Source organism: Homo sapiens, chromosome X (assembly GCF_000001405.40).
Source record: "Homo sapiens chromosome X, GRCh38.p14 Primary Assembly".
NCBI classification, from domain to species: Eukaryota; Metazoa; Chordata; class Mammalia; order Primates; family Hominidae; genus Homo; species Homo sapiens.
In genome coordinates, this window is record NC_000023.11 from 21,486,382 (window position 1) to 21,505,547 (window position 19,166).

General features: G+C 33.3%; 1 protein-coding gene across 8 annotated transcripts in view; it reads left to right on the plus strand.

Annotated features, from left to right (window-relative positions):
• CNKSR2 (connector enhancer of kinase suppressor of Ras 2) overlaps positions 1 to 19,166 on the plus strand; it is a 280,272-nt gene that overhangs the window by 111,964 nt on the left and 149,142 nt on the right. For all 8 annotated transcript variants that reach the window (NM_014927.5, NM_001168647.3, NM_001330770.2 and 5 more), the window contains exons 6-8: positions 4,078 to 4,197; positions 11,406 to 11,465; positions 15,139 to 15,207. In NM_014927.5, coding sequence (NP_055742.2) covers positions 4,078 to 4,197; positions 11,406 to 11,465; positions 15,139 to 15,207 — 249 coding nt within the window. The remainder of the gene's footprint in view (positions 1 to 4,077; positions 4,198 to 11,405; positions 11,466 to 15,138; positions 15,208 to 19,166) is intronic.

Consider the following 19,166-nt stretch of genomic DNA (forward strand, 5'->3'; position numbering starts at 1 on the left):
ATAACATCCATCTAATGTAGACATTGATTTTAAACAATACAAAATGAAATTGATCAAAAAAAGTCCAGTGCTAAGCATAGAAACAGAATTAGCACAATAATGATTAGGAATTCAAGTCCTTCTGCCATGCTAATGACCTTGGTCTATTTAGCCTCCTTCTCACATCTGTTAAACTCGCTATAATACCTACTTTAGGAAGTTGTTATTAGGATAAACGAGATAATAAATATGAAGTATTTAGCATTGTGCCAGACACATGGTAGGTGATCTACAAATTATAGCTAATAATAATGTTGTTGAATTATAATAAAAGGGTATTTTTCTTGCTATTTTATGATTTTCTTTTTCTAGAATATGCTTAGGTAGTAATAGATAATATTGTGTTTTAAAATATAAATTATAATAATATAATGTCTCACATGATTTCACTTAATGAATAGCATTGACCAAATTCAGGTTTTGTAAGATACATTAAATAACTTCCCTGGAACTTTCCTATAGTGCTGCTAATGTGGTTTCCTGCAGTAACTTGATGTATGATGCAGTAATGAGTATAGAATTAGCATGTAAAGCAAGACCATTTTATACCCCTTCTAATTGCCTTATTTAGTTAAGTGCCAAATGCTACAATATAAAGTTTCTAGCGTATTATCTCTAAAACAGGAAGCAAAGTTCTAATGGGGTTTCTTTTCTAATTCTATTTTTTAAGACCTTTAATCTGTTAACTCCTGATAGCTTTGCTGGTAAAGTCAATGTGTTTACTCACCTTTTGTATTCCTAGCAGCACCTAGCACATAGCAAGCATTTGGCAAACAAAATTACTCAAGAGGAATCTGAGAAGACGTTTTTGCAACTTAATATGATGAATTTAATTGGTATTTTCTTTTCCCTAAAATGTCTACAGTCTGGTATTTCTGCCTTTCCTTTTTCCACTCCAGTTCTATAAAACTACCAGTGCCTGAATAGGAGAGCTACTGTTGCTCATTACAAGAGTGTTATATGAGGCCTTGAATGTTGTAAGAAATATACATATGTATATATAGACAGAGAGCCATTTATATACATCCATTACTTTCCTATTTATGTATTGGACTCTTTTGAAATATGCTTCAATTTGTAGAAACCACAAGGGTTCTTTTTAACATACTGACTTCGTACCCTTCAGATTAGCATGCTATCCAAGTATCCTGTATAGAAACCCTTCAGCATTCACAGTGTTATCTCCCCTACTTGAGATAAAGAGAAAATAAGAATGAAAATATAACCACATAGGTAAGGGAAGGAATAGCTAAAAGATTTAATTCTGCCATTATTTTTCTTCCTGTCAAACATAGAATTTGAACCGCAGCCAGTTTTTATATGTTAAGTACTGCCATTCTGTCCTTTCTCCATGGCTGCTGATGTATATTTTTAAGACAAATTTTTAAAAATACAGAGAATGGGATTCCAGGATGGGCCACATAATTTGTGAGACCTAGTACAAAATGAAAATGCCAAGCCCCTTGTTCAAAAACAATTAAGAATTCTAGGATAGCAACAGCAGAGCATAAAACCAAGTGTAGGCCCATGTGCAACTGCACAAGTCACCCTCCCACAAAGCTGGCCCTGAAGGGTTTCCTATTTCAGGGGAATGATCTTCCTGTTGGCACTTTGCCTAGCAGCTTTTCAGAGTAAATACCTTCATTGTATCTAAGAGCATTGAGACCTGAGCGTCAGAGAGAGTAAAGAGATGTGAACTGTCCATCATGGCCATGCAGCTAGACTAACCAGTGTAGTTACTGATCATTGTAAGATGGTCAGCAAGGTAATTCAATTAAGAATAATGAGATAATTCATACCATGAATAGGATTTCAGTATTTTAAGGGTTGAGAAAGCAACAGAGGAGGAAAAAGCATTTATTGGGTGTCTTTTTTGGATAGGAGCCATATTGAACTCTTTTTAATGCATTATCATGTCTTAGCATGTCAGCCATATAAAGTAATCTTTATTAGCTCATTTCATTTTCTATCTGAGGAAAGTGAATCTCAAGGATATAAAATAACTTGTTTATAGTCACACAGCAATCATTGGCAGTGTGGTGATTGCCCACAACTGTCTTCAGATCAAGCCCATGTTCTTTCTATGGGTATTGGTACCATGAGGCTGTCTCTCTTGAGGGGCTGATAGACACAATAAAAGTACAGACTTGAGAAGCAGATGCAAACAGCACTAGCACAATTAGCGAAATTTAGCATGACAGTTTCTTTAGTGTAAAGAATCTGAACCCAGCACAAAGTGAGGCCATGGACCAAGGACAGAACATAGTAAATAAAAAGAGAGTTCTTATTATCTTGACCAGACAGGAGAAACTGTTGTGAGGGGAAAATAAATCTCGGGATCCCCAAATCACTAAGCCAAGGGAAAAGTCAAGCTGGGAACAATGTCAGTCAAACCTGCCTCCCATTTTATTTCTAAATACGGTAGCTACAAAGATAAGAAGCTACATACCTCCCTCACAATTTGCCCACAAGGAAATACCTTGTGGACAAAGGACAGACAGAACTCAAAGTCATTCCTCTGAGGCTCACCTGAGACAAATGCATATCTGATTGCTTCCTCTGCCCTCTTTGTTTATATAAAAATGCAGATTCACTGAGCCAGACTAAATTTTGTATTCAGTGGAAGGCTGATCAAAGACTCAAAAGAATGCAACCTTTTGTCTGTTATCTACTTCTAACCTGGAAGCCCCCACTTCGAGTTGTCCTGCCTTACAGGACTGAAGCAGTGTACATCTTACACATATTGATTGATGTCTCATGTCTCTCTAAAATGTATAAAAGCAAGCTGTACTCCAATCACCATGGGTACATGTCATCAGGACCTACTGAGGCTGTGTCACGGGCGTGTCCTTAACCTTGGCAAAATAAACTTCCTAAATTGACTGAGATTTGTCTCAGATATTTTGGGTTAACACTGTCTACCTCACAGTAGACTAATAACAGTGGCTACAGAACAAATGTAACATGTTGGAGATGGATAGATGATAATACCTTGATTGCAAAATAATAGTTCCTCCTATAGTTAAAGCAAAAAAAAAAGTTTCAAATGATGAAAATCAGGCTTCAGTAAATACAATGAGAGTCTGTGAAGCATCTGAGGGCCAGCATATTTTAGGGCAGTATATTTCAAGCTTCTTCACTCCTATTCTACTTTCTTCATGATTTTGCCATGTGTAAGCCTTAAAATACCATGATAGCTGTAACACATATTTTACATTTATTGTTTCATACAGTTAGTACGAATGGATTTATCCTGACAAAAGCACTAGCTTTCTGTCCTTAGTAAAGCCACTCTACTAATTGTTTAAGCTCATTTGCTCTTCAGTTCATTCAACTAATATTTATTGAATGCTTTGTATTTTCTAGGATTTGTCTACCTGATGTAGGTGGTAGGTGGGGGTGGAGGGAAAAAGATAAGAAGACAGAGATGAGTAGGGCATGGTACCTGCCTCAGAGGGATTCAGAATAAAATAGTTTCGCAGTTTCAGATTGTTCATAGAATGCTGAGAAAGCAGGATTGAGACTTTGCCTGGAGGAGGTGGGAAACTTTATACAAAGTTGAGCAGGAAAGTCTAGATAAATAAGTAGGAAGAGTTTGTTAAGCTTATTTGGAAGATTCATCTTTCCTGGATCTTGGCCAGATTTTTTTTAACTTTTCTGACCATGAATTAAAAGACTTCGAGATTTTTTATAGTGTTCAGTTCAATCTTGTGGTTGTAATCAGGAGGTTCTCAGATTAAGTTTGTTTAACCATCATTTTTTGTAGGTATGGTAAATCAAATAATAGAAACAGTATAACCATAACTAATGAATATTTTGGCATATAGTTCTTACACTCATAATTTAGAATATAGGTGTGTTGTGTGTAAATGTGTTTCCATTTCACCTGAATTTCTTTGTACAGATTTTACAGAATAAAATGCCAGTTACTTTCTTCTACTGTTTATTTTTCCTTATGAAAACGTTATTACAAAAGGTGATTTATATGTTACTTACAACACGTATTTACCACAACTATTTTTGTTTTTGTGCTTCCAGTGTAAAACTCTTTCTGGAGTCTGTGACCACATCATATCCCTGTCGTCAGATCCTCTGGTTTCACAGTCTGCTCACCTGGAAGTGATTCAACTGGCAAACATTAAACCAAGCGAAGGGCTGGTAAGAGATACCATGTTTATCAAAACCACCATCCATCAGTAGAGAGCTAATGATGTGGACAAAGCAGCCTCTGAATGTGGGAATCTATGAATTTCAACAGACACTGAACATTTTGGTATTTTTTTCCTGGAGGAGTTATGGTAGTGGAAGTTTGTGATGCATGATAAGAAGTTTTATGAAGATAAATGAAAATGAAGGAGAATTGAAAATGGTGACTTCTGAATTAATTTAATTTGGTACTCATTTAGCTTCAATTACATTCTTTCACCTCCCTCCCTACCAAAGTTCCTTAGGTTTAAAGGAAGTTTAAGAGTTTTATAATAAACACCACAATGTTACCTGCTCATGAAAGTTGGTTTTTTGTTTGTTTGTTTTGTTTGTTTTACTTTGGTTTGTTCTGGTTTTAATAGTTATTCCTTCCCCTAGGGTGGGTTAGCTAAACAAAACTGATATTCTTTATAACTCGCATTCATTCTTAGAAGGGTAAGTAAGCACGTGGATATTGCCAACACTAGATGTCTATGAGTTGTATTTTTTTATTATGTAATAATAAATATAATCATGTTTGATATTTTGTTCACCTGATTAAAAAGTGTATTGGTTCTAGATTTAACCCAAGAGAGAGATTTTTTAAAATATAAGTCTATAGGAAGAAAGCATATAAAAATTGATATTGAGACAGAAAACAAGAAACTGGCTAGAGAATATCTTAACTACTACACAACTATTACATGTTAGTTTGGTGCTATAGTGTTTCCACTTTCTCCCTGTATATGAATTTACCAATTAATGATATTTTGGAAAATAGAAATCTTGACAACTAGCATTAATAATTGAATTCAGATAATATATTCTTTAAGATCTCTAAGCAAGTTTAACTTTTTCTGTGGCTTTTCTTTTTCATACATCTATATAACTGTTCAGAAGGCAAAGCCTTTATTGACTACCACTGATTTTTCAGTTTGAGGCCATCTATCCTAGAGAGTAAGTTTTCTGCAGATATGTGGCAAATTAATTCTGGTTATCTGTAGTTCCTAGTGCTGTTGTGGCTTTTATGGGTGTTTTCCTGGGAAGGAATATGATGAAAATCAGCATATCAGACATAGCATGCCATCATTGTGATCTGTAAGTGCTATATCTAATGTTGATTACATTTAGAACTTCTGTTAAGTAATTATAATCTAAAATTTTTTTATTCCTTTTAGTTACATCTACAAAGTCCAGTTTTATTTTTAAAACACTTCAATCTATAGCAATAAGGATTGGCCTTTCTATGTATCCCCTTTTAGTAGTTATAAGGGAAAGGAAGTCCCCTAAGCATGATTTTTAGAGTGAAAAATTATGAACTAATACAACATTGTATTAAACTAGAAGTCAGAACACCCAGATACAAATAACTTACATAAAATATAACTATGAGAGTGATCTTGAAGAGATGGGAGAGTAAATTTAACCACCTTGGCCTTGATCTAGTCATGTAGGTGAGGGAGATGAGGAGATCATCTTTAAAGCTCCTTCTGGCTCTTAGTCTGTGGTTCTAAAAAGAAAAAAGCCTGACTTTTTTTCTCTAATTTCCACTGAAATCATTGGGAGAAATAACCTTGTAAAATAAGTCAAAACAATGCTAATTAATGGGCTTTATGAAATCTTGATTTTTTAAGGAAGGTATAGCCCTGGACAGGTCCTTTATTGTTTTCATTTGAAAGAGGTAGATCTGGGAACTTAAAATGCTAAGAACCAGATTCAGTTAAACAGTTTAGGAGAGAGCTAGAAGAGAAAAGAAATGAATGCCCATCACTTGCCAGGTATTTTTCTCACACCTCTATAGAGTAGATATTAATTTTCTCATTTTGCAAATGAGAAAATAAAATTGCACATATTCACCAGTTTGCTCTGTATCACATATAGACAATAAATAACAGAGGCAGGGTTTAAGTCCAGGTAAATCTAGATGAAGTACATCTGAACAAAGCTTTTTTTACTATTCCACATTCAAATTTTGAATTGCTAAACAGGTATGAGAAGCTTAGGAGGATGACTTTAAAACTGAAATTACTTAGAGAAATTTGTTTTTAAAGGACAAGGGGCAGCACTTCACTGGGAATTGAAAGGAAGGAAAAGAAAAACTCAAAATGTTGAATATTAATAGAAAGAGTTAAGTATAAAACTATTTTTTGTGATTCGTATCAAAGGGGAAGTACTAAACAGAGAATTTACATGGCTTATTCAAGGTATCGTTTTAAAACTCAGTCACGTTTAAGTAAGTTTAGTCAGTCACATTTGAAATAAACCAATTTTAGGATTTTGATTTAGGATTTTGGTAATTAGCCATAGTAAATGTCTAAATGATAAATGAAGGAAAGAAATAGAAAGCGGTGGGAGAATACCAAGATTTAATGAAATTTAATTAGCTTAGAAATATCCACAGAAGGTGTTCTTCCAATGTTAGGACAGAACATGTCTCATAGGCAAAAGGTAACTGATTTGTTCTCCTGCTGATAAACTGGATACATCGTTTATCAGCTTTCTAATTAGTCAAATCTCCTAGAATTTCTTAGGTTTAACAGTCCTAAAGCATTGTAAGGACTGGTGAGAAACAACCTTAGTTATGATTGAACCATATGAAACTTTCTTCTAAAGTGCTTTTAAACAACAATAATTAGCAGAAAATTAAAGGAAGGAAAATGAGAGCTATTGAAACAACCAAACTGGATCAGAGCCAAGGCATGAGCCAAATAGAGAGGAAGGGACTGGGGTCATCCCTGGGGAAACCTCTTGGCCTCAGGGAGTTCTTTTTCTATTTGGGTACTTGGACCATCTCCAAATATGCCTTATTCCACCAACTTGACTGAGAGGTTGCTTTGGCTCCTGTTGGTTAACCAACATTTGGAGACAGAGCAAAGCAAATGTCATTTTGGCAACCTGAGCAGGAGAGAGGGAGCTGTGCAAGTCAGCTCTAGAATTAATTAATGAATTTTTAAGAAGAGAGAAAAGGAGGAATGAAGGTTTTGATGAAATGGAAAGCCATATTTGTCACGGTTCCAGAAAAAGAGTCATTTGAATTACATGTCCTCCTGCTGTTTGGCCCTTTCTCAGAGGTGAACAATGAATCAGATGTATTTCTCTGGACCCTTTCTTATTCAGAAGATGATTAGTTTGAAACTCATCCAAGCAACTTATTTCTTCTCTTTCTTTTGGTGCCTGACTTTTGGCCATTTTTCTCATTACTACTATGAGAGGGAGATTAAAAAAGACAAAGAAGTCAGTTTTGATTATTAAAAGCAGTTACAACATGGTTTATTGAGTTTAGAAGTGAAAATATTACATAAAACAAAATATCTTTATTCTTGTGGCATTTAAAAATTTGTTTTATTTCTACCCTATTGCTTTATGTCTATATGTAGATACATCTCTAAGCATTTAAAATTTTTATTCATCTGAAAAAAAATAGCTTTAATATAAATTGTACAATGTTGTCATGATGAGATCCTCTTCCTATAACTACTAGATACTGTCTTTGGCTTACAATTGTCAGTTAAGTTCCTGGTATTTGTAATAATTATACACAGATAAATTTAGAGTCATAGCTATGCTGTTTCCATGATTTTTTATTATCCCAATAACTACAGTGTCTTTTCTAAACATTTTTCTTTAAATATTAGGCTTTCTTTATGACCTCATCATTTATAGAATCATTTAGGACTCTTGTCAAACACCTTTAATTCGTAGTCAATAGTGAAAGATACATGGAGAAAAATAGAATCAACTTCTGCTTACAGTTGTCAAGATGTTGACAGCTGTTGTGAAACCTCGGTTCTTCTTAGTTTAAAAGAACTTAAACAAGAGATACACAGCAAAGGAGATGTAGCATAGAGCAATTTATTGCAAAGGAAAAAGAATATTGTGAAAGTTAGGTGCAGAATAGCCAGTACACCCTGAGAGAGGATTCAGGGCAGGCTGCTCCTGAGGATGAGACCGCCAAGACTGGCACTAGGGAGACTCCCTTTATGGGAGTCTTACGTGATTATTTATATGGGGGTGGGAAGAGCTGTTACTAGTAAGCATGTTCTGGGTGGTCCTCTGGGTGTGCACGTGCACAGTAGCTGTACATGCCTGTTCATATGTTGCATGTCTCTTTAGCATCTTAAATCTCCACCCAGGGCTGTGCTTTTTACTATTATAATGAGCAAAGGCTTAGTTTGAGGACAGGTAAAATCAAAATGCACGTGCTCCCTCCGGGGGAAATTTCCTAGCTGTGCTTGAATGAGCTTGACTACATTGTGAATGCTGGGGCTTATTGTGTTAACCATACATTCGCCACAGTTGCCAAATTCCAAGGACATGTTAATTCCTTGACTACCTATCCTGCCTCAAAGAGAGATGGGTAATTGAAATGAATTTGTAAAATATCAATCCCAGTTATTCTTTTAGCTACATTTCATATACTACATATTTGCTAAAGTGGTCTTAGTCTTTTAGAACAGATATTAAAAAGTGAATGTTTGACTTTAATATCTACAGTCATCAAATATTCTAATAAGAAAAGTTAAGGTGTACAACTCTCCTAACTGTAAATAAAGCCATAAATCAGGAGCCCAGTGGTTGAGAGTGTGGACTCTGGAGTCAGACTGCCTGGGCTTGAAAGCTGGCTTCACCACCTTGGGCAGACTCCCCAGCCTCTCTGTGCCTCAGTTTCCTTATCTCTAAAACAGAGATAATGATAGTTTCCACTACATAGACTATTGTGAAATAAGTGCAAGACACTTAAAACAGTCCCTGGCACATTGTAACAAGTAGATATTAATGGTGGTGATAGATAATGATGGATGATAATTATTTTGTGTGTCCGAACAGTGTATTTTGTTTTGTTCACTTTTTCCACTTTATCCTCTCACAACCCTTATATGTCAAAAACTAAAAATTGGCCAGGCACCGTGGCTTATGTCTATAATCCCAGCAGCGTGAGAGGCCAAGGCAGGCAGATCACCTGAGGTCAGGAGTTCTAGACCAGCCTGGCCAACATGGTAAAACCCGTCTTTACTAAAAATACAAAAATTAGCTGGGCGTGGTGGTGAGCGCCTGTAATCCCAGCTACTCGGGAGGCTGAGGCAGGAGAATCACTTGAACCCGGGAGGCAGAGGTTGCAGTGAGCCGAGATTCTGCCACTGCACTCCAGCCTGGGGGACGAAAGTGAAGCTCCGTCTCAAAAAAAAAAAAAAAAAAAAAAAAAAAAAAAAAAAAAAACACGAAAAATTTACTCTCTAGCTCTTACAAATGTGCAGTCATGCTTCATTTAATGACGGGATTCCATTCCGAGAAATGCATCCTTAGGTAATTTCATCATTATGTGAACACCATAGAATGTACTTACACAAACCTAGATAGTACAGCCTACTACAAACCTAGGCTAGATGATAGAGCCTATTGCTCCTAGTCTACAAACCTGTATAGCATGTTACTGTACTGAATACTGTAGGCAATTGTGACACAGTGTTAAGTATCTGTGTATCTAAACATATCTAAACATGGAAAAGGTACAATAAAAATATCATTACATAATTATATGGGACCACCATCGTATATATAGTTCACTATTAACCAGGACGTCATTATGCATCACATGACTGTATTTTAAGATCCTTTATTAATCTGATATAATATTGTTAATTCCTGAATGAAAAATATTTACAGAGATCTTGTCCTCTTCTAAGTTCTAAAATAATACCATTATATTTACCGATCAGTAAATAATGGGGTAAATGTTAGCTTCAAATTAAGTATGTTGTATACCTGTCACCAGTGTAAGGCTGAATATTACCATGTTGTCATAGGCAAAAACTACTGGCCAATCCATTAATTAAATTCTGATTGTACTTTTGTTAAGGTTATTTGTTTTATATAAAGTGATAAGCATTCATTTTGTTTCATATTAGCAATCCAGGCTCAGCCATTTTAGACATATGGTATTACTGAAATGACTTTTTAGAATTAAAATCTACCCAGTGATTTCTCAATAGTTCCATACCATGAAATTTACTACTTATTTTTCTAATCTCTTATTTTCAGTGAAGACACATGTATTTTCAGGTATCTAAATATATAATTAACAAAGGTATAGGAAATTAACATTGTAGCAATTGCTTCATGTAAGTACTAAATGTATGCTTTTTCTGAAATGGTATTGTTGGTTGTTATTATTAAATCTATATTTCAGATTTGAAGTTAATTAATATTAATATTTTTATTTATGAAGTAAGTATTTTGAAATGCAAACCACTTTTATAGGTAAAATTTGGGTAGTTTTTCCCCGAAAATAAATTTAAAGTAACAATCTTCTTTGGAGGGGACAAAAATTCATTAACTGAATCATCTAGTTTGTTCTGATTTACTTAAATTATTTAATATTAAAAATGTGAATCCCTTATTGTGATTTTTTTTCTTTAAAGTTCCATCACTATCCATAATTTAAAGTTTCCACTTGCTCTTAAAGTTTGTATGATTTCAGGATTTCTGTATAATTTTTAAACTTTAATGTAGTTTTTTCTAAAAATGGTTCTATTTAAATGGAAAGTGGAATCTTGTCCTTTTTACTGGGGGAAGGGATTGCTACAGATACACACTACCTTTTAATTATCGATGTAGATATGATTGGATATAATTAGTAAAACTTTATCAATAAGAAAGGTGGAAAATACAGGATACTACAAAATAGAAGGAGAAAATTTATGTAAATTATATTTTATCACTCTTCTGGTTCCAGTTATAATTGAAGTGTCTCATTAGAAAACTACTTTCCATTGTATAATATATCAAGTATAATAAGTTAATAACATACCAATATTTTAATTTCCCATTGTAACTTTTATTTTGCCACAGAATATGCAGTATGGGTTTTTGGGGAGAGTGAGAGAGTTTCTTTCTTAGGAATATTGAATTACCATGCTGCATTTTATCAGTCTCACAGGCAATTCACTTATCAAGTAGTTATTTAATTGAGTATAGGCTTCTTCAGACAAACTTTAGAAACCAGAATGTTCAGATAGTAATTTCTCACCAGTTTAAAGATAGCGTCTGTCTTCATGGATTTATTTCTGGGGCGTGTGGCAGTTTTAATTTGATAGAGTAATTTTTTATATAAACGAGGTTACAATGTACTTGAAAATTCACCAATTGCTTCACTTTCTTTTCTGATGCTGTCTTTTTCTTAGGGTATGTATATTAAATCTACATATGATGGCCTCCATGTAATTACTGGAACCACAGAAAATGTAAGTATTCTAACCTTTCAAATTTTTAAGTGTGTTTTTCCCTTTTATTGCTAACAACTTATATATCTCACATGATTGAGGTTAACATCTAAGGATAAGGACATGAACAGATAGTAGATACAATTTAAAAGAGATACTGAGTTAGTAGCATTCATTCTGTTCAAATTTCCCTTTTTTTTTGTTTAGAATAGCTGTTTACTTAAAGTAAATCAGGTGTTTTCAGCCAGAGATTTGTCTTTGTATTTTCTGATTCATGACAAGTTATTGTGACATCTGAAAGAATTCATTTCCATCTGTCAAATGATTTGGTTATTTAAAGAAACTAAACTCATGCGAGAAATAAATATCAGATAAGTCAGGTTTTCTGAATACTTCCAGTATAATTCAGCTTAATTCAGTGGAAGGGCAGCATGGTATAGCTGAGTGGTTTTCACAGTGACATTCCTGGACACCAGCATTAGCCTCCCTTTGGAACTTGCTATATATGCAAACTGTTAGGCCCTACCCCAGACCTACTAAATCAGAAATTCTGGAGACCAGCCTATTTCTTAATAAGAGATTCTATTTTAACAAGTGAATCTGAGGCATATTTGCGAACCACCATAAGCAGTGGGCCAGAAGTCCACAGGCCTATGTCTTTACAACCAGTTCTGCATCTTAATGGCAGTGTAATTTTGGGCAAGACATTTAACCTCTCATTGCTTCAGTTTCTTCGACTATAATTGGAAACAAATTATCTGCACTACATACCTCACTAGGTTGTAATGAAAATTAAATAAGCTAAGAAAAGGCCATGCTATAGAGAACTATCTGTGTTATAGAGAGAAAAGCATGAAGTGATCATGCTGGATATTATTAACATGATCAGTGTGATAGAGGTGAACAGCATAATACATCATCATTCTTGCATTTGGTTATTTCAGATTTCCATTCTATTATTATATAAGCAGGTACTGAGCTTTGAATGTATTTTTTTTTTATTTTAGAGATTCTGCCAATTGCATGCATATGCAGTGCTCTTTTAAAGAAGACTGAGGTGGAATTAGTTCAATCTCAAATTATTATTGATCTGAACATTTTACCAGCATTTTCTTTTTAAAAATCAACATTCTTTTCATCTAATTCCCCTATGTAATCACTTACTGATATTTTTCCTTGCTTCTCTTGGTTTCTTGTGAAAGGTGAAACATATATATTTGCAGTTGGAGTGCAGGAGCAGCTTCACATTTGGTATTAAATATGAGAGTCGTAGGGATCAAGAATATCAGTAACATGCATATTATGAAGATTTTAACAATTTTAAATGCAGTTAAGATGCTACAAACTATATGCTTGTCATCAATTGTTCATTCTGATTTATTTATTCATTCATGTATTCATTTGTTCATTTAACAGACCTCTGCTTCATGTCTGCTATGTTTCAGGCATGGTGCTAGGTATTGGAAGAATTTTAAAATAACTAGTTTGGTGCCATCAAGGCGTGGAGAGCATGTGGGGGTTCATCTTTATAAACAGTAGTGTAATTTGCATGGATGGACAAAGGGAAGAATAGTAAATACTGCCAAGTGAAATCAGAGAAAGAATCACAGAAATGGTTATTTTGAACTGTATCTTGAAGAATTGGTAGGAATGGATCTCTATATTGTCTCAGGTCTGCAAAAAAATGTGGAGCACTGTCTTGCTCATATTACTCACTAATGTTTCATAAATAGATAAGTGATCAAAAGAGAGATTGAGTCTGGGAGTAGTTCAGATATGAACCATATATTAATAGTTCATCTTTTGATTCTTTTTTTTCTTAAAAATATTTAAGTATTTTTGGTAACCTCAGTCATTTATAATTAGGAGATCTGTCTTGAGTCTTAGTAAAGCTGCTCACTAGAGTGGGTAAGTTATTTTGCTTTGCTGTGCCCTAATTTCTTAGTTTTCTTATATGTGAAATGAGGCATTTGGACAAAATTCTATCTCTAGGATCTCTTTTAAAACTAAAAATCTATAATTTATATGACTTCTTTACTTACCTGTGCAAAATGTTTCAGTTTCTTTGAATTTTATATACTATCATTTTCTTCTACATAATGACTAGAGCCATTTGCTCGATATTTTTTCCATACTTTCCTTTAAAAGGATCAGTTGTGAACCAAATACCACAGGAACCAACTATAGTTACAAATATATTAATGATTTACAATCTTTTCAGAATTGTTTCATGGTACTTGTCTGACTTGGTAATATGTCCCCCTCCTAAAGGTGCTGTGAGATTAAAATATTATATTATTGTTATGACTCTATTCTTAGAGTTTTTTATTGTAGATTGATCTATCCCCTTAATAATGTAATTGTGTTATTACTTCAGTAACTAGAACTCCCTGGTATGTTGTCTTATCTTGAATTATAGCCTATGACAAATAATTTTATTGTGAATTTTAAAAATGTGTTGAATGGAGGTTAACATTGTTTCAAGACTTCTATGTTTTAAAAATAATTGGAAATGAATAAAAAACAAACTGGAAATCACTTTTAAAGTATGTCCTACTCCAGGGTCTCAAAAGTAGCATTGTACTTTGCAGATTACATTACCATATTCTTCTTCTTTAGCTTTCAGTAGATAATAACGAAGAGTATCACAGCATTTATGTTTGTGTGTGATAGATAAACACATACACATCTATCTAGACAAATACATTTTTATAAAAATGGATTTTCTATATATTCAAAAGCATATTAAAATGCATATAATCAATAAGTAGCTAACAAGAAAAATATAATATTTTAAATTCATTACTCAGACCTGCAATATAAAATTTCTATCTTAAATCTCATTTTAATTTCCTAAAAACTCCTTAAAACTTGTCAGTATTAGCTTACCAAGTTTGTTTGTTTTTGTTTTTCATCCCTTTTGGGAATAAAGGAAAAAAGTGTTAGATTATTGCATTCTATAGAAATATTGGCATTTTAGTTCATTGAATGTGGTTTTACTGTCCAGTGTATTACACTATATGTAACATGAGAAATAGCATCCTCTTATAACTAGACACTTAGCATGTTATGTAATATGATTTGAACTAATTGCTGTCCATCTTTTAATTTGCTTTGCTAGATTATTCAGAATTGGTGTTACTGATGAAATAAATTAGCAATTTAATTATCAAACTTCAAATCTTTGATGCTGATCATATTCATGTACTTGAAATGGATTTGTTGAAGTTAATGTGAATTATTTATATCAAATGGAAAGGATCACAATACAAAAAGATATAATTTTTTGAAATGCATTTTTGAAGCACTTACCCACTAGAGCCTAGGAGAGTTGCTTGTATAAAGTTTACAAAGGTTAATACCAATTATCATTTTTTCATAATGCTCTCAGAAACGTGTTCTTTTATAATAAATATCTATATATTATTTTGCATTTCTGTTTGTTGTCATTAGCTATGCATAGAATGCAAACTATTTTTTATTAATTTTTTTCTTTCTATGTTTATTTAACTGGCTCAGCAGGTAAAAACAGTGTATTAAATACTAATAACCGTGTTTATTGCTTTAATTCCTTGAAATTTTTAATTAATTTTTAAATCTAATTTATGGAGATGAACTTTTTGTAGTGTTTCCAGAGACAGGAAATGACTGATAAAATTTATGTTCTTTATCGTTTCTTTTATATTAAATTCAGTCACCTGCAGATCGGTGCAAGAAAATCCATGCTGGCGATGAAGTGATTCAAGTTAATCATCAGACTGTGGTATGTATAATTAACTTAAGAGTCAGTGGGAGGAACTAATTTTGATTTGCTAAAGCTTTAAAAGAATGCCAATGAAATGAAATTCCTGTTTGTATACAAAATATTGAACAGCCTTTTGAAAAAATAACTGAATATTTATTCTTCTTAATTATTTGATGGAACGTAAAGCATTTTTTTAAAAGAACCTGAAGAGCATTGGTGGTGGTTGAGGTTAGATATACATTTCTGTATGGAAAAGTACTAGATAATAGTATATATTCCATGAACTGGAATAACAATTTTGGAATAGAAATTAAAGTGACAGTATGTATAAATTCAACCTTTTCTTGATACAACTTTTTGAAAGTTTCATTTTATAAATTATTGAATTACCTAGTAGATGTTTTATAACAGCATACATCCATTTATCTAACATTGATTTGTTCATTAAAGTATCTGGTGGTTTTGGGGGGAGTATTTTAAATGTAGATCTTTGAAAATTTTAAAATTTTTAATAGCTGAATTAGCTTTTTATTTCCTAAAAGAGGACAACAGTTTTCATTTTAAAAAATGTTCTTGCCCTATGAACCTCACAAATCCCTTTGTTATCTACCCTTAAAAATCTACAGTAGGCACAGAATCCCACTGCCATTTTTTATAATAGTGGGATTCTGTGCCTATTGTAGATTTTTAAGGGTTATTTTTCTTAAACTTAGGTTTAGAAAATGAACATTATATGCTTTTCATTTTGGACTATTTTATATGTCTCAGTTGATTCACTTTTTTCCACTCTCTCTGCCAAAATAAAGTATATTTGTTATCTTAAAAAGTTAAAATAATCCAAAATTATTAATATCATAACTCATTTGAAAAAAGGCAGAGTTTTTATTAGTATTCTGCTCCTCGCTTACTAACTCATCAGAGTGAGTAATTATTTCCTATTACACAATTTAACTAAATTTGCTTTTGCATGTCCTAGTGATGGAAGAAATTTTGTGAAAAACCTGATTTTTCTCAGTGATTCTAATCATAAGGCAAATGACATTTCAATTTTGGTTTTGAATAATTTGAGAAGTCTGTGATATTTTGGAAAGGCTCCTAGACACTGATAATTAAAGCCATGATGTCTCTTCAATAAGTTCATTATCTAAGTGAAGTAAAAGTTGGTAAACGTTTTCAAAATTAAATGCGTGGGTGTACCTTTGACACTGAATAATAGAGTGTTGGTAGTAGACAAAGCCTTTCCACACTATGACAGTTTTGATGGCTTTCTTTTCTGATTACTAGAAACTGTACAAAGTAGTTGTTCTGACTGAAGTTTCCTGTCCCATAGGATGAGGATTTGGGCAGTGGGATAAAGCAGCTGCTTCAGTAGACGAGTAGCTTTTCCCTCTTCTAATGTTTATGCTGCTTCCATTTCTGCAATGTGACCTTAACAAACATGACATCTGTTGAATAGTTTCAGCATGCATTTCCAGATGGTCATTAAGAGGATAGAGATTAGTCTCTAATAAAAATAAAATTATTTAAAGGATATTGTTTGTGGAACAAAGATACTGGTGTTTATGAAATGAATATGAAAGCCTTTGAAAGTCTACAAATAAACTAATAAAATCTATGTGGATTGGTGACATTTAAATACACCTAGAATGTGTAAATGCATCTTTACATCACAGGAATATTCTAAAATATTGAAAACTACACAGAATGATCTTTGGGAAAACTTGGTTCCAGCTCTTGCTCTGAAATTGACTTATGGCTTTAAGTGAGTCATGGTAACTGTGCATCTGTTTACCTTTTTCTAATGATAATAACCATAGCTAACACTTATTGTGTTCTTACAGTGTGCCAAGCATCATGTTAAGTATTTTACATATTTTATTTCATTTAGTCCATGCAATAATCCTGCAAATAAGGTATATGTAGAAATTGAGACTCAGAATAATTATTCAGCTCACCCAAAACTCAAAGTTCTTTGACTCTAAGACCCATGTTCTTACTTCAATTTTATTATACTCCCTCCCAAAACTCAAAAATTATATAACTATCCAACAAAAGAGGAAGAATCCTAACAAGCATGTAAGTAAATCTCAGGATTCAATGAAAGATTAAGTGGGGCCAAGGTAGGAGAAGAAGAAAGGAAGTGAGAATTTACATAGCTGGGATAGCGAGCCAGCTGAACTGAAATTAGAAATAGGGTTGAAACTTAACTTTACTGCCACTTCCTCACTCTGCTTCTTTCACTCAGATAAGTAAGATATGTAAAAACACCTGTCATAATGCCGGGCACACATTAGGAGCTCAATAACAACTTTGCAACCGCCTTTCTTCTCTTTTACCTGCTACAACAGTTGGACCAATTGGAATCCTCCTTCTTGGCATACTGCTACTAGAGCCAACAAATTGATTTTGGAATATAATAGAGACAAGATAGTATGTTGAATTTCATGAAAGTAGACTTTTTTAATAATATGATCGGTTGCCAGGTTTTTTTGTGTTCAAGTAGAGGCATATTTGGGCAAAACCAATGCATTTCACTAAATGTAGCCTACTCTGCCCTCTTTTTCTTGCTGTTGCCTGTATTGTGGTCTGTACAGTGCATTTAATCTCTTATTAGATAATATACAGAGGTGGTGAAATGGAAATTCTCTTAATTGAAGCAAGTATAAATTATTTATAGTCTGCAATTATCCCTTCTCTCCCTACGTTCATTACCATAGGGTTTGGTTATGATATAATAGTTACATTAAAGTATGGCCTAATAAATTTGAAATACATAACTAATATTAATTCTCTAATCCATTAATTGACTAGAATAGTGAGATTGCCAGTATTGTTCCATACCAATTTAGACTCATTAATGAAAAGAACAATGTTAAATCTTATAATTTTGGATGATACTAACCCAGTTAGTATTTTTCTGTAATTCTAAAATTTCCTATGACTATAGGTAGTAATGTAAAATATAAAATCTGATATTTTTCTTTACTTAAGATAAATACAAAAATTATTTTAAATATTTCCCTAAGAGTCTAAGAAAGTTGAATAAATCAGATGAATTCAAATACTATTTTTTTAAATTGCTAGTATGGTATATCTTCAAGATGTCTAATTAGATGCCTATGTTTCTAGTTTGCTCCTTTTTTAAAAGTATTTTCTTAATTGAAATGAAACTGGAAGTTTTATGTCCTTTTTCATGTTGCTATATTCTCTGTTATAAGTGGCTTTTAAGTTTTTCAAACCAACATACTTCTGTGGCTGAGAAACTGTGGCTGCCAGATAGGAAGAAGAAAAAATCATGAACATCCAAGCAAAGCAGACTGAGTCTTATTACATGTCTTCCCCACCATTGAAGATCCAACTCCTCAAAGGCTGCTGGAATCTCCCAAGATTTTTTCCACTTCATCTGCCACTACATCCCTCTCTCTGGGAGATACCTCGGCATAGTTTGATGCAGCAACTCTGCCCTCATGATGCACTTTTAACACATTTTTTTAGCTGATGAGACTACTTATAGTTATTAAAATTATTGGGGCATATTTATAATCTGTTCAATTTCATGTTAATACTGTTTTTGGTGTGCAAAGGGTTCTAAAGATTCTATCCATACTAAAAACAGTCTCGGGAATATCACTTGAGAAGAGTGGCATATATGATGGTTGAATCTATTAACAACATTTGGAAGTTTTTCCTTTTATTTTGTATTAATATTAAAACATATTCACTGTTATTTTGAAAGATATTCTGGAACCTGATGACTACATTATGGAAAGAAATGTTTCAATAGATGAGGCTATAAAGGATACTGGAATGGAAAATAACCAGGTTGGGATAGTCAAGAAGAAGATAGACTGCAGCAAATAGGATGTTCTACATTGATTAGTGAGAGATGGAAGATAAGTACTATAAGCTAGTGGTTTTTGTTACCTCCAAAATGATAAACATTGTTGAGCAAGACTAAGGATGGCAGAGAGTGTGGG